The following is a 17,205-nucleotide window of genomic DNA, read 5'->3' on the forward strand; positions in this document are numbered from 1 at the left end:
ACAAAAAATACAAGCCAGGCATGATGCTATGCCCCTGTAGTGTCTGCTACTCAGGAGGCTGAGGCAGAGGTTACAGTGCGCAATGACCATTCCACTGTACTACAGCCTGGGAAACAGAGTGAGACAAAGAAAGAAAAGAAAAAGAAAGAAAGAAAAGAAAAAGAAAGAAAGAAAGAAAAAGAAAGAAAGAAACAGAAGGAAAAGAAAAAGGGGAAGGGGAAGCAAAAAGAAAAGAGAGAAAAGAAAAGAAACAAGGAAAGGAGGGGAGGGCAGGGCAGGACTGCTTAGGAGATGGGTGCACCAAAATCTCACTAATTACCACTAAATAAATTATTCATGTAACCAGATACCACCTGTTCCCCAAAAATCTATTGAAATGAAAAATGTTTAAAAAATAGAAAAAGAAAACTCATTCATAATCCAAAAAAGAAAGAAAGAGTCTCGCCATTTTGCCCAGACTGGCCTTAAACTCCTAAGCTCAAGTGATCCTCCCACCTCAGCTTCCCAAGTAGCTGAGACTACAGGCTTATGCTACCATAGCCACTTCACAGGACAGGTTTTAAGCCAATCAAATCTGTCCAGAGTCATCTTAATGGAAATATTATATTAATTATTTTCTAATACAATTTGTAAACCTCTGTATTTCTAAACCAAATTCTTAAAGACTCCTTAAATTGTTTAAAAGATCTAAATGTTTCTCTTCCCTTCTTATCTTGTAACCTAGTAAGCCAGGCAATTAGCTTAACGATCAGTTAAACCTTTTTTTCCCCAGAGTTGTGTTAAAAGCTATTTGCAACAGGAACATTCTTCATGAGAGCTCATTGACTTTTCTCCCTCTTTTTGTGTTAGACCTATGTATCTGAACTATCTGGGTGTATCCATAATAACAAGAATTGAGTTTTGATCAATTAATAGATTAAGTTTTCTAGAAGACAGAGAAAGAAAGTGAGATGATTACCACAAATATGTAAAGAGTTACTGACCACTATAAAAGTCAAATCACCTTCTCTTTGCAAAGAGTGGGAAAGCCTTAAATGCAAGCAAACCCATTTCAATACATGAGAAAGAAAGGAAGTCATTACAACCAGTTCAAATAGTATCTTGGGCACTTGATAATTCCATCAAGACTATAGGATTAATTAAGTCTTTAAAAGTACTTTCAAGTGAATAATTGTAGTCATATCAAAAGTACTTCAAAATGACCACTGCAATTCCAGGTTGTCCTTGATGAAATTATGCTTTTTAGAAAGATAAATGTGTGAAAGAGAAAACAGAAGCCAGAGTTATGCCTGGAGATAGTGCAAGTTTATTATTAAATGAACCCATGAATTCATTAGCTACTGGTCATTCAAAAGGGAAAAATAGCACTTAAATATTGTACCTAAAGTCCTCAACAGTAAAGGTTGAACCCCTGGCAGCTAACCCTGAAACCTAACAAGCTAGAATGGGTAGAGAGGAAATCTCTCCCAAAGCCAGTTTCTCATAGACAAAACTAAGAAAAGTTCTTATAGGCACACAACAATGTGGCCAACTGACAGATAGGATGGCCAGTTTCAAATCTTTACTAAGAAAAACAAAAATTAGTATAAATCCAATCAGATAACCAAACAATTCTGGAAACCTTATAACAAAAACAATATCAGCTGTCTTTGGGAGTTCAGCAAAAAAACGATCAGACCTCAAAACAAGGGCTGGAGTTAATCTAAGCATCATAGACAAGGAATCTGCCCAAGCAAAAAGGCAGAAGAGACCTCACTGAAATACAGTATAACCAATAATATAACTGGTGGCAAGAGTTCCTGCCTAAGTCTTGGTAGGATTTTCATAATACCAAAATCCTAATACAAAGACCACCAGGGAAACCTGTTGATCATACAAAATGGTTATATTAAAGTTTCTGAGAAAAAGAAAACATCACCTTGACAATGTTGGGGAGGGAAAAATAATTTTTCCTCTACCCTTGTGAGTTCTTACCTGGGACCTCTATAAACGATAGATTAACAAGAAAAAAAGAGAAGTTAGTTAACATGTATACCTCGTGTATATATGGGACATACCCAAGGGAAAATTAGTAACTCCTAAAGTGATGGCTGAGAAGTCTGGCTTAAATAGCATCTTCAGCAAAGAACAGTACATTCTTAGAGAAGTGATGAGACAAAGGACCTTGAGTCTCTAGGGCCGGCAATTTGTGGGAAGGCAAATATATGGGAAACTAATGATAGATTAAAGGCTAGTTAATAAAGTTTGATATATAAATTCCTCTGGCGCCATCTGCAGGCTGATAAGTGTCCAAAGATTTATCCCTCGGGCCAGGCGCGGTGGCTCACGCCTGTAATTCAAGCACTTTGGGAAGCCTAGGCGGGTGGATCACAAGGTCAGGAAATTGAGACCATCTTGGCTAACACACGGTGAAACCCCTACTCTACTAAAAATACAAAAAAATTAGCCGGGTGTGGTGGCGAGGGCCTGTAATCCCAGCTACTCGGGAGGCTGAGGCAGGAGAATGGCGTGAACCCGGGAGGCGGAGCTTGCAGTGAGCCGAGATCGCATCACTGCACTCACTACAGCCAGGGCGACAGAGCGAGACTCCGTCTCAAAAAAAAAAAAAGATTCATCCCTCCAGGGGTCGCGGGGGGAGTTACCTTTCTTAATTTATGTCCTACTTTTAGGCAAACAGGAGAAAAGCAGAGAGCGTTTCTTATATTTTTCTTCTCAAGTGCCTTCGGCTAAAAAATATTTGTTATGCTGGCATATTTTGGGGTAGTATATTCTGCTACCCTTCAACAGAGTCTCAGTGGTGTTTCACAACTGGGAAGTCATAAGATTTTTATGAGGGTATTTATAGGATTTTGAGGACTAGGGTTGGCCATGGGATAGTTTTAAGGTAGAAGTTATTAAGCAAAGTCCGAGCAGAGATTGGTCGGAATTTGTAAAATAGGTGAATTGGTGGATCACAGTCAGTCTTATCTTCAGAGCATATGAATCCATGTGGAACTACTGTTAAAACAAGTTGTCCATGATCTTATCTTAAAGTATATGGATCTGAACAAGCTTGTGTTAAAAACAATTTATTTCAAGTTACATGTCCTGGTTTGGTACAGTTTAGCTGTTATGCAAATAATGGTATAGTTTTGCAAGTTGATGTTTCTGTTTTATTTCTCAGAAGGAAATAGTTTGTAGGCAAGGCAGCCAATTATAAGGCTTTCACAGAAATTCAGACATAATGTAATGAATGTCTAGAATTGTTTTGGGAGGTAGTAAAAGAGTGAATGAAAATGTAGGGTCAAGGAAGAGATGGATTAGAATATTCTTAATGATTGAGGCTTTTGGGAAGAGTGGGCTACAAAGGGGAAAACAAAGTTAAATGTTTAGGCCAGGCGCAGTGGCTCACGCCTGTAATCCCAGCACTTTGGGAGGCCGAGGTGGGCGGATCACCTGAGGTCAGGAGTTTGAGACCAGCCTGACCAACAGTAGAGAAACACCATCTCTACTAAAAATACAAAATTAGCCGGGCGTGGTGGCGCATGCCTGTAATCCCAGCTACTCGGGAGGCTGAGGCAGGAGACTCGCTTGAACCCACGAGGCAGAGGTTGCAGTGAGCCGAGATCACGCCATTGCACTCCAGCCTGGGCAACAAGAGCTTGATGCTGTCTCAAAAACAAAAACAAACAACAACAAAAAAGTTTAATGTTTAAAAAGTGGGAAGATAGTGGCCAGGTATGGTGGCTCACACCTCTAATCCAAGCACTTTGGGAGGCTGAGGCAGGTGAATCACTTGGGGTCAGGAGTTCAAGACCAGCCTGGCCAACATGGCAAACCCCCGTCTCTACTAAAAATGCAAACATTAGCCAGGCATGGTAGTGTGCGCCTGTAGTCCCAGATAGGAAGCTGTGGTAGGAAGATCGCTTGAACCCAGGGGGTGGAGGTTGCAGTGAGCTGAGATTGCGCCACTGCATTCCAGCCTGTGCAACAGAATAAGACTCCATCTCAAAAAAAAAAAAAAAGAGGTGGGAAGATAGTGGTACCATTGATAATACCAAAAATGGGAAATTGAACTTGGTGACTTGATATGGAGATGATGGGTTATGTTTTGTTTTACCTCATATTTTTTTCTTTTGAAACTGTAATAAATTTCAGACATCATTCCCAAGATGACTGGAAGTATAACAGAAAATAAGATTCAGTTTTAAAAGGAAAAATTGTGAGTTTATTCTAGTATATTTAGCCTTATACTCTTCCATTTAATTCTGTATTGTTTTATTTGAAATTATTTAAAATACACTGTAAATCCCACACCCTCATTTAACTAGCTATTTTTTCGTTATGTCAGTTTTACAGACAAATAATGGGTTCTCCAGTGATCTCTAATTTTCCGTTATTTCTGGAACTGTTTGCAGCAAAATAACAGAGAGGAACATAAATAGCAAAGAAAACACCCTGATAACAGAGGAATCTTACTTAGTTCGTGGTCAATACCCTGCTTTGAAAAAAATGATATAATCACACATTTTTCTTTCTAAAGCAACTAGTTTGATTAATGGAGTTAAAGAGCTGCAAGCCTTGCCCCTTATAAAATTATAATCACTTTAATAACTGTGTTAATTAAGATCAGAAAATTAATCTATGTTAGCATTGCAGTAGCAATTTTCCAAGTACTGCCAGGGAGTAAGAATGAAAGTGGGTTACAATGTCACATGGCATCTGATTAAGTTAAATTAGTAAGTATTCGAAGGGAAGACTCCCTGGTGACACTGAATAAGATGGTCACAGTTTTCCTGTAGCCTATTGTAAGGGGACAGTTGGTTGCAAAGCTACTACTTTTCCAATATAAAGTCAAAAATCTGGCCACATACTATCACTAATGAGTCTGAAGGAAGATTAGGACTTGTGGTTATTGTCTGGGAGAATTCATATAATAAGCTCTGGTGTTGGCCATATTAGTAGCTAAAACATCTTAAATGTGCAGGCTTGCCTTTAACCTCCTAAAATAATAGTCCAGGTTTTCTCACTTCAAGTAAGTACTTCTTTTTTTACTTTATAATTTCTGAAATCAAAGCATATCTTAAAACTGATACATAAATTGTTGTAAGAATGTATCTGTGTATGTGAAGGACCCCCTACTCTTAGGTATTTTATAATCTAATAGTCTATGTTCACATTATAAACTGATGTCATCTGTACTAGCATCTAGGGGTAACAATATGAGAACAATTGGGAGGAAAGTAGGTGATCCTTTGACGTCATATGTCATAAAGAAAGGAAAGAGAATCACATTTATTGTACATTTATCTGCATAAACTGAATGTTCATTATCTCACTCCTAACAATTACCTTGCAAGGTAGTTATTATTACTATATTTTATAAATGAGAAAATTACGACAAAGAATTTTGTCAACTTGAATTTGAACCCTGTTGGAATCCAAAGCTCTTCCTACTCTACAATCTGACTACCTCATTGGAACATCCTAAGGTAGAATAAGCTTCGTTAATTTTCTTCGTAGACATAGTAGATATTAAATCTCTAAAGATTAATTCAGTTCAGAATAATGGAATTGTGCATACATGTAGCTAAGTATTACTTAAGTTTGCTAGTATCAGAGACAAAACATCTGTCTTCCTCTCCTTCACATAAGCTTAGCTTCTTTGATACTGTTGACCCCACTTCAGAAAAGAGACAAAAAAGTTTGAAAGAAAAGATAAACTATTATTCTGTTCAGACTTAAGGATATCATGTCACACAATCTATACCTCAAATATTCCCAATGGAAGACAAATTGGAAAATAATATTGGGAGAAAAAAAGATAATTGTTTTATTTAGTTTGGCCAGTATCTCCAGAGCATTATTATCAAATTGGAGCCCAACCTGGTGGGATATTTTGCATGCAGTTCAATCGCCAGTGAAATTTCAGAGTGTTTTTTGACTTCCATAGGAACATTTTCTCATCCTCCTATACTTTCAATATTTATTTAAAGATCCTTTGGGCATTCACCTTCAAAATGCCAGATACCATTGTAGGTGCTAGATATGCTAAACTCAGTTTAGTAGATTTTTTTTTCATTAGAAATATGCAACATTAACCTAATAGAATAATTTGTGGTGGTTTTTTGGCTTTGTAGCTGCTAAATCCTGAAGATGACCTCTTACCAGGGAAGATTCGAGACAGCAATCGTTCAACTCTTCTAGCAACAATTCAGGAACATGGTTACCCCACGATCAACTTGGGTATTGTAGGAGACAAGTAAGTATTTGATGTCATTCTGAAAAGTTTGTATTGTACAAATACGAGTTTTTGGAATACTCATTAGGTGGAGTTGCTGCTAAAGAGACAGAAATTTAATGTCATAATTTTCACTTATCTCATTCTTCAGAAGCCAAAGAATATTGAGGTATCTATGTCCTTTAGAGATAAAGATTTCTTGGAATGTCTCTGAAAACAAGAGAAATACTTTACTTTCCTGTAGTATGTTAGGTTTCAAAGGATGTTTTTGTAATAGTTTTGGTTTTATCCCAATGGAGCTAACAGTGATGGCATTATTCTGATGCACATTTTTACTTCTTTCAAGAAAGACAGGAAAAGCATAGGTAAGAAGAGAAAGAGAGATTGTCAAAAGTAGCACTACCTAATTCTTTGAAATTTAAGTACAATTTTTTTCTAGGACTTCTATATTGATTTTTGTGTCTTTATGTAACCTGTTTCTCCAGGCTTTACCTACTTGAAAGTACAAAGGGAAGCACAATGACTATAATTACTCAATTTTTAAGAGCCTATTACCCCCATCTACTGAATTAACTCAGCCCTCTGCTAAGTTTTCTAAGTATTTCTGTGAATCTCCAGTGCTGTCTCATGTGTGATCAAAAGCAAGTCTACACTTTCTAAACATCCTAGTATCATGCAACACTGCTGCCTGGCTGTCTTTCAAAAGTCACCCTTTCCATTTCACTAGAGCTACACCTGCTTTTAGTAATACTCAAATATCAACCCAATGGAGACAAGGCTCAGAGACAGATCTGAGTGATAAATACTCATGATGTATCTATCACCCATAATCCCCTTTCTCTCTTATCACTACCTCATCACTGTGTAGACCTCATTAAGCATGGATCCTTCTTCCCTTATGTTGAGTACTTTCCCAAAACTCAGATGTGCTTTTGAAGAGGTTCTGACCTACCATTCACAAGGTAGGATCTGACAAGGCATGCTGTGAACTTTATCTTAGGCTCACACTGGACATAGTCTAACCTAAGCTTGTCCAGGCCAGGCACAGTGGCTCACGCCTGTAATCCCAGCACTTTGGAAGGCCAAGGCGGGTGGATCACTTGAGGCCAGGAGTTGGAGACCAGTCTGACTAACATGGAGAAACCCCATCTCTACTACAAAATAGAAAAATTGCCTAGGTGTGGTGGTACACATCTGTAATCCCAGCTACTCGGGAGGCTGAGGCATGAGAATCATTTGAGCCTGGGGGGCGGAGGTTGAAGTGAGCTGAGATCGTAACACTGCACCCCAGCCTGGGAAACAGAGTGAGACTCTGTCTCAAAAAATAAATAAGTAAACAAATTAAGCTTCTCCAACCCGTGGCCCATGGACCACGTACAACCCAGGACAGCTTTGAATGTAGCCCAACACAAATTCATAAACTTTCTTAAAACATTATGAGATTTTTTTGCGATTTTTTTTTTTAGCTCATTAGCTATCATTAATGTATTTTATGTGTGGCCCAAGACAATTCTTCTTCTGATGTGGCCCAGGAAAGCCAAAAGATTGAACACCCCTGGTCTAAACCTTGGACACAAGCATCTTGCCAGTAACCTGAAAGGTAGTAGCTTTTATGTCATCTAACCTTTTGAAGTTCTCTTCTTTCCTCCTGATTTTTTTTTCTTTCTCTGAGGACACTGGAGTGGAAGCTGGTGTATTTTCAAATGTCATTCTTTTTAAAATCTTCACCATTTGTATTTGCATGGATGTTTAGCTCTAAAGAAGTTTGGCCAGGAGTGGTGGCTCACACCTGTAATCCCAGCACTTTGGGAGGCCAAGGCAGGTGGATCACCTGAGGTCAGGAGTTTGAGACCAGCCTGGCCAACATGGTGAAACCCTGTCTCTACTAAAAATATGAAAATTAGCTGGGGGTAGTGGTGCGCACCTGTAATCCCAGCTACTCGGGAGGCTAACACAGGAGAATCACTTGAACCCGGGAGGTGGAGGTTGCAGTGAGCTGAGACTGCACCATTGCACTCCAGCCTGGGCAACAAAGCGAGACTCCAGGGCCCCTCGTCCTAAGAAGGGAAAGTAAAGCCAGTGTACAGGAAGGAAAGGGGGGAAAAAGCCAGTTATTTGAATTTGGGCCTTAGCAGTAACCTATCCTTTAAGATACAAGTACTTAAAAACTATCCTATCCAGATACAGCTTTTCCAAAGACCAAAATCAACTTCTGAGAAGAGAAGTGATAAATCCAAGAGTTTGAAAACACAAAGATAAGGCAAGCAGGCTTGAAACTTCATGGAACAAACACCAGATTCTTAGGGTTATTTCCCTCCTACCAATGGCTCTGGCCCTACCTCTAAGTGCGTTAATGAGCTCTAAGAAATAGTATAAGGAAAAAGGGAGCTTTTAAATTGTTTTTACCCTAATTTGTTCTGGACTATAATTCTGCCCATTCTCCCTCTTACTGTTATACTTTTTTTTTTAAAGAGGTTACTTAATATACTGTATATACTGCCATTATCTTGAAGTACTCTAAAGGCCAAAACATCATTGAAAGGCCAACATGTTGGTATGCTGATATTTTTCTGGGATCCACACTGTTAATTTGTGGTGGACATTTCCTAATAATGGTGATATTGCATTTAACTCCAAAATATACTTTGAAAACAGTATAAAGAACAACAAAACTATAAACAGGTTAAGGCAATTCAGTGAATGTACAAATCTCTAGTGTATACCCTTTTCTTGAATAGTAATACCTTATATCAAACTGAGAACAATTTAAAAAAAAAAGAAATTGATGCAAATCTAGGCTTTCTTAGTCTTAGAGTGCTATATTGAAGGGGTCCAGAGTGAATGGTGTAGAATGCAGAGGTGGAATGTGGGAGGAAAGAATTTATAATTGTTCTAATGGAAATCTGTGCTGGGAGTTTAGCAAAGAAAACAAGGTATTTAATCTACAGCCTATTGATATTCTGTGAAGGCTACCCTCCTTCATTCTTCTTCATCCTATTCAGCCATTTGCTAAGGAAAGCAAATATTGTCACACAGAAGCATCTGGGTAAAGCTCTCCAGGGAAACAAGCAGAGTCATGGGAGAAACTGTACCCTAGGTTTAAAGCAGGGAGAGAAATAGCTCAAGAATGTCAATAAGGGCGAGGTGCAGTGGCTCACGCCTATAATCCCAGCACTTTGGGAGGCCAAGGCGGGCGGATCACCTGAGATCAAGAGCTGGAGACCAGCCTGACCAACGTGGCGAACCCCCGTCTGTACTAAAAATACAAAAATTAGCTAGGCATGGTGGTGCATGCCTATAATCCCAGCTACTTGGGAGGCTGAGGCAGGGGAATCGCTTGAATGTGGGAGGTGGGGGTTGCAGTGAGCCAACATCGTGCCACTGCACTCCAGCCTGGGTGACAGAGCGAGACTCTGTCTCAAAAAAAAAAAAAAAGTCAGTAAGCACAGAACCTTACTCAACTATGACAGATAAGGGTAGAGAGTGACAGCTCTATTTGTATCATTAAAAAAGGTTTGAGTCTGGTTTTTAAATTCTATATGATTCTATTTCTCAGCTCTTATTCTTATCACCTGCCATAATTTTGACAATCAAAGTAAAAATAGAAGAATAAGACTTTGTAGCTCTTTGAAGTGAGTTGGACTAAATGGCCTTTGCTTACTATACCTTTTATTTTAAAAGGTTAATTTAATAGTACTATGAAGATTACTGGAGGGATGCTTCAAATACCTGAGAATTAACAACTGTATTTGAAAATCATTCATTTGTAAACATTATATATATATTAAAATACATTTCTTGTTTTCTCACACTGTTTGGAACACAGTACTGTTGGAGTTCCTATAGTCTTTTTCTTTAAAGAGACACATTTTGAAACCCAGAGATATTAAGTAACTTGCCCAGCATTATACTACTAGTTAGTGGCAGAGATAAAAATGGAATCTAAATTTCCTGAGATTGACAATCCATAATTCTCTACTATCATTATAAAGACAAGATATTGTATACCTGTGTACTACTGTGGGCTGGATTGGTCAGACAGAGTTTTATAAACCTCTAGTTTCAAGCTAGAACTTAAAAGAATGAGTAGGATTTAGATAGGAAAAGAGAGTGTGTTAATCCAAGTAGGAAACTGAATGCACAAAGTAGAGAAGTAGAAACAAATAGTGTCTAGAGAATTAGAAATGAACAAGAGATTCAGGTAGAAGGATAAGACAGGTAAATTGAGTAGAAATTTGAACCAGATTTTGAAAGGATGTGGAGAAATAGGAACACTTTTACACTGTTGGTGGGACTGTAAACTAGTTCAACCATTGTGGAAGTCAGTGTGGCAATTCCTCAGGGATCTAGAACTAGAAATACCATTTGACCCAGCCATCCCATTACTGGGTGTATACCCAAAGGACTATAAATCATGCTGCTATAAAGACACATGCACACGTATGTTTATTGCGGCATTATTCACAATAGCAAAGACTTGGAACCAACCCAAATGTCCAACAATGATAGACTGGATTAAGAAAATGTGGCACATATACACCATGGAATACTATGCAGCCATAAAAAATGATGAGTTCCTGTCCTTTGTAGGGACATGGATGAAATTGGAAATGATCATTCTCAGTAAACTATCGCAAGGACAAAAAACCAAACACCGCATGTTCTCACTCATAGGTGGGAATTGAACAATGAGATCACATGGACACAGGAAGGGGAATATCACACTCTGGGGACTGTTGTGGGGTGGGGGGAGGGGGGAAGGGGGAGGGATAGCATCGGGAGATATACCTAATGCTAGAAGACGAGTTAGTGGGTGCAGCGCACCAGCATGGCACATGTATACATATGTAACTAACCTGCACAATGTGCACATGTACCCTAAAACTTAAAGTATAATAAAAAAAAAAAAATGGCTTTGCAATTTAGGCTGCCAAACTACCCAATTCAGTTAAATTTGAAGTTTGGGTATTTTTTGGTTTGTTTGGGTTTTTGTTTTTGTTTTTGTTTTGCCGAATTGACATAAAAAACAATTATTTTAAAAAGATCAATTGACCTAGATTTATCATATAAGCTAATGATGGAGACTGGAAATAAGGAGAACAATACAATTTGTTTACTCATTGTTTAATCAGTCACCAGGAAGTATTGATTGTGTACCTGTGAGTCGTCTGGAGATCTTATTGAAAATGTTGATTATACTTTAACAAATCTGGGGTGGGCTGAGATTTTGCATCTCTGACAAGCTCCAAAATTATACCAAACTGCAGGTCTGTGGAACACAGGAAGTATCAAGAATATAGTAAGATCAGTCATGCGTCTGCTATGAATTTTAAGCCAAAGGCTATGGAAGATACAAAATTGAAACAGATATTGATCTTACTTTTGAAGAATCACAAATTCCAAGCAGTAAAAATATTTTAGAAGGTTCCAGAACTTAAACTCAAATTTGGAACTATAAGAAGAAAGAGATTAAATAAAGAGAAATATTGAAGTCTATTATGTAGAAGAGAGCAGTGTCACTGTTGAATTATCTTTGTCTGGATTACAAAGCCTCAAAATGGTATGTGTATGTAAACACAAAATGCCTGGAAAAGCAAGCTGTTAGGCCTCTTTACCACAATTTTATATTCCTGTGTAGCAACATACTATTTCCATGTCTTCATTCTCCACTCAAAATCTATTATTTCTTGGCTTTTATAGCTCTTTTTGCTATGCTCATTCCCCTAAATATAGGTCTCCCCGTGGCTTACCCTTGGCTTTCTGTCCTTTTCATTCTGTATGCTAATGACTGACTACCAAATCTTATATCCCCAGCCCAAATATGAAACTAGTAAAGCCTAGATATTCTGAATTGGCACAAATTTATGTGAGTTTATATACTTTTAAGCACAACCCTATTTCTACTTTTTTTTTTTTTTGAGACGGAGTCTCGCTCTGTCGCCCAGGCTGGGGTGCAGTGGCGTGATCTCGGCTCACTGCAACATCTGCCTCCCGGGTTCAAGTGATTCTCCTGTCTCAGCCTCCCGAGTAGCTGAGACGACAGACACCCACCACCGTGCCCGGCTGCTGTTTCTACTTTTTTCCCAAAATACATTTTATTTGAAAAAAGCAAGTTGCAGAATAACATGTTTAATTTTATCTCACATTGAATAGCAACTGAACAAACATATATTTATAAATATGGTATATGCATGGGAAGGTATTTATATGTAGAAATACCCTATACACCCAAGTGTTATTTCTAGTAGTAAGAGTTTGCATATGGGGTAGAAGTTAGAGAATTAAAAGTGATGGTAAGGGCCAGCCACTGTGGCTCGTGCCTCTAATCCCAGCACTTTGGGAGGCCAAGGCAGGTGGATCACAAGGTCAGGAGTTCAAGATCAGCCTGGCCAGTATGGTGAAACGCTGTCTCTACTAAAAATACAAAAATTAGCCGGGCGTGGCGGTGGGCGCTTCTAATTTTTTTTTTTTTTTTGAGACGGAGTTTCGCTGTTGTTGCCCACACTGGAGTGCAATGGTGCGATCTCAGCTCACTGAAACTTCTACCTCATGGGTTCAAGCGATTCTCCTGCCTCAGCCTCCCAAGTAGCTGGGATTACAGGCATGCACCACCACACCCAGCTAATTTCGTATTTTTAGTAAAGACAGGGTTTCTCCATGTTTGTCAGGCTGGTCTCAAACTCCTGACCTCAGGTGTTCCACCTGCCTTGGCCTCCCAAAGTGCTGGGATAAAAGGTGTGAGCCATCGTGCCCAGCCACTTCTACTTTTTTTTTTTAATATTTCTGAAATACTTGAATATTTTTACCCTGAGGATATACTGTATTTCTTTTGTAATAAAAGAACCTCCTAAAAATTCCCCTTATGCATTATTAAAAATTTGGTGGACCAGTATTGACAACTGTAATCAAACTTTCCAAAACGGACAAAAGAGGCAAGCAGCTCATCTAAGGAATCTGAATCTAAGTAAGAGCTATTAATACTATTAGGTGTGTAATGCCATAAACATAGTGATAAGTAGGCAAATTAAAAAGAAGCCAAAGTCTTGCTGCATTTTAAGTAAAATTATAATATTTTGTAATACAACAAAAGTTTAAATCAAAAGATTATAGAAAACATACTTAAATGCAAAATCTTAATGTCTATATTGACTTTGAATTTTATTTCTCATACTATTTTGCAATTGCTCAAATAATAAGACTTGAAAATTTAGCCATAGTATATATTTGTAGAACTTGACAGATAACTAATGTAATAGAAACCTTAGCCTACCTACATTTTGTTTTCTCCAAGCATAAAAAGTATTTCATAGCTATGTTTTGTTTTCCAGAACCCATGGTGATAAACTGTTCATATTAGATATTTTCCCCCAATAGATGATAGGTTGGCAGCATCATTGACTAGAAAGAAAGAAAGAAAGAGAGAAAGAAAGAGAGAGAGAGGGAGAGGGAGGGAGGGAGGAAGGAAGGAAGGGAGAGGGAGGGAGGAAGGAAGGAAGGAAGGCGGAGGGAGGGAGGAAGGCAGGAAGAAAGAGAAAGAAAGAAAGTCTTTAATGTTACCCTTGACAAAATATCAACTATTTTACCTCATCTAGAATTCTACAAAATAATAATGTAATATATTGGCTTTGAATTTTCAACCTCTCATTATAAATTCTTTTTCTTCATTTTCATGTCGTTCTTTCTTCTTTTGATTGCACAGTGCCTTTCTATTCTTTCTGTTCTTTTCACTCAAATGCATTCTTTATATATTTACATATTTTCTACTTTTTAAATTTTAGATGCAGGGGCTAATGTGCAGGTTTGTTACATGGGTATTTTGGGTGATGCTGAGGTTTTGAGAACCAATGATCACGTCACCCAGGTAGTGAGGATAGTACCCAATAGTTAGGTTTTAGGCCCCTTACCCCTCTCCCTCCTTCCCTCCTCTAGTAGTTCCCAGTGTCTATTGTTGCCATCATTATGTTCATGAGTACCCAGTGTTTAGCTCCCACTTACAAGTAAGAACATGCAGTATTTGGTTTTCTGTTCCTGCATTAATTCAGTTAGGATAATGGCCTCCAGCTGCATCCATGTAGCTGCAAAGGACATGATTTCATTCTTTTCTATAGCTGTGTACTATTCCATGATGTATATGCACCACTTTTTTTTTATCCAGTCCACCATTGAAGAGCATTCTATGTCTCTGCTATTGTGAATAATGCTGCAATGAACTTAAGAGTGCATGTGTCTTTTTGGTAGGATGATTTGTTTTCTTCTGGATATATACCCAGTGATGAGATTGCTGGGTTGAATGGTAGTTCTCAGTTCTTTGAGAAATCTCCAAACTGCTTTCCACAGTGGCTGAACCAATCTACACTCCCACCAACGGTGTGTAAATGTTCTCTTTTCTCTGCAGCCTCACCAAGATCTATTATTTACTTTTTAGTAATAGCCATTTGGACTGGTGTGAGATGGTCTCTCATTGTGGTTTTGATTTGTATTTCTCTGTGATTAGGGATATGTTAAATGATCATATCCCTAAACATATGTTCATATGTTTGTTGGCTGCTTGTATGTCTTCTTTTGAGAAGTGTCTGTTCAGGTTTTTTGCCCATTTTCTAAGGGATCTACCTTAAATATGGAACAGCAGATGTCCTAGTTTTCTTTTCCCCGAGGCTGGTTCAATAACCTATTAGCCTCCTTTAGTCCTCCTAGACAGTGTGAGCTACTGTAGGGGAAGAGTTGAAGACAAAGAAATGTAGATGGGTAAATAAGTACTGAATGCTATATGTGCTAGCCAAGCAGTTGTGGCCAGAACTTAGTAAGATATTGGTCATTTGAGCACATATATTTTTCTCTGTTACTGCTTTTTTTTTTTCTTTTTTCTCAGTTTCCTAATAAATTTGCTTTGAGAAGTTGTTGTCTTGTATGGCTTAAACAGGGTGGAAAAAGGATTTGTGAGTATTGGGCCAGGGTTGTTTTCTTTCCCACCAGATAAGCTCCATGAATACTAGGACAAAGTGTATGTTGGTAAACACTATATCCACAGCACTTAGTAGGGATACATTAAACAGCCCTGCCATCTTTTCCTATACCATTCTCTCTTTCCATGAAACCTAGAAACTTTCAATTATACAACAGTCCAGAAGAATCTTACAGGGCCCCTTCAAAGTAAGTCCAAAAGCCTTGACCATAGGAGCAGGCCAGAAAGTATGGTACTGACAGTAGAGTTGCATTCCTGAGACACATCCCCAAAAAATGTACAGTGTAAAGCTTTGTGGCTGGGTGGTTCATTTTATATTTCTGAAGAAAAGCATCTTGGGAGAAATTCCAAATAGATTTAGCAGGCTTTTAATTTAAAAAATTGAGGAGCAGCTCTCTCAGGCTTGAAAAGATCTTACAAATTTACTTCTTGAATATAACAAGCGGTAATCATTATCCAAATAGAATCCACTTGGGGAAATTTTTTTAAATAAATTTCAGCATTAATTGAGTTTATATAATTCCTCAAACTGATTTTAAGTATTGAATAAGGATTCAACTTTATGACAGCTCAGCAATATAGCTTCTGAACTGCCAACTTGGACCTTCTAGCCTTTCAAGGCCTGAAGGAAGGGCTGGGAAATTCCCATCATTAAGAAGATTTCCCCCTTCTGGAAAATTGCCATCACAGAAGCCTGCCCCACTCAAATCCTGGGCTTACTTGACTATGTCATAGATTGATGTTTTGTATTTGAACTGCCTCCTCTTGCTGCTGCGAATTTGTGAAGCTACCTCTTTATATTAAAGCAAGAAGCAGAAGGACAAATACTGAGATAGAAAATTGGGTTCTTAAAAACCTGGCACATTTAGCAGGAATTATCAAGATAGACTTAACAGCACAGTGATTATTTGGGCAAAGCCGAGTGCCTTACAACTTCCAATTTGTGAACCAAACACATCCTAATTTTTCATTGCTTACCCAATGTTCTTAAAGTAGGAGTTTTCTAATCATCAACGATAATTTAGATCTGAATTTAATTGGTTCTTGTCATTTTTATAAACTATCTGCTCTCCTTATGGCATGAACCTCCTTTTCTGCTCAAAATGCAAAGTTTTCATTTTTGAGTCAACATAATAGATTTATTTTCTTCTTTTTTTTTCTTTTACTCCTAGCAAGCTGGGATAGATTTATTTTCTGATCATTTTTCAGCAGAGGTTTCTCATTTTCTATTGGTTAACAAAGAACATTCTTTCTACCTTAACAAACGTGTTTAATGACGAGAGGTTCTTTCCGATCTCAGTGATAGACTTTTTATGTAGCTGTTAGAGTTGCCCTCCTTTATCTTTAAGCGTTGCTATTGCAGTTGACATTTCTGTTTCTTCTATGAATAACCTCTAGGTATTACTGTAGCTTTAGACATTGTTTTCCTACCCCAAACTCATAAAAAGTAATGTCTTCCAGAAAGCCTGTCCTAATTATCTCCAACTAATTCTAATCATTCTATCCCATTTACCCTTTTTGTCATTTCTTTATATTATATATAAATATATGATATATATTTTTTCATTTTAATTAATGTATTTGAATTCAACAGATGATATTAATGTCATTGCTTATTTCACTCATTTTTCTAACTTTTTTTCACTGATGAGTTTTCTGCACTAGCTTATAAACTTAAAGGCAAGAACCATGCTTTCTTCTTTCTTTACATGACTCCATGGTCCCAGAACACCCAGTGAGACTGGAAAAGAATGAAATGATGGCTATATGTGTAGTATGTAGTTTGATTCCATACGTGAAGTAGACACCCAGAAAAGATTTGTAGTTAATGAATTTATCTTTGACCTCTGAAGAAACTATGATATGATAATAGATGTCCTCAGCTATTTTTTGTTACCTTGGTATGATTAACTGCCAACATTCTTTAATCCACACATCCTAGACTTTTTCTCTGTGTCATCTTCACTCATCTTAAAATGATGCAGCTTGCAGTTGGTGTAACAGATGAAACAGGAAACTAATT

The 17,205-nt window shown here is 37.9% G+C and overlaps 1 protein-coding gene and 1 long non-coding RNA gene across 25 annotated transcripts in view; one reads left to right on the top strand and one right to left on the bottom strand.

The window, feature by feature from the left end:
• The window catches only part of GPHN (gephyrin), a 1,227,209-nt gene that overhangs the window by 607,990 nt on the left and 602,014 nt on the right, over window positions 1-17,205 (top strand). For 22 of the 23 annotated variants that reach the window (XM_011536340.4, XM_017020913.3, XM_011536343.4 and 19 more), the window contains one exon: window positions 6,120-6,241. The exons of the other annotated variant lie outside the window; for it this stretch is intronic. In XM_011536340.4, the coding sequence (XP_011534642.1) occupies window positions 6,120-6,241 (122 nt within the window). The remainder of the gene's footprint in view (window positions 1-6,119; window positions 6,242-17,205) is intronic. 23 annotated transcript variants of the gene reach the window in all.
• LOC105370538 (uncharacterized) overlaps window positions 1-17,205 on the bottom strand; it is a 116,677-nt gene that overhangs the window by 43,449 nt on the left and 56,023 nt on the right. The window lies entirely within an intron of this gene.

Source organism: Homo sapiens, chromosome 14 (genome assembly GCF_000001405.40).
Source record: "Homo sapiens chromosome 14, GRCh38.p14 Primary Assembly".
Taxonomy (NCBI): domain Eukaryota; kingdom Metazoa; phylum Chordata; class Mammalia; order Primates; family Hominidae; genus Homo; species Homo sapiens.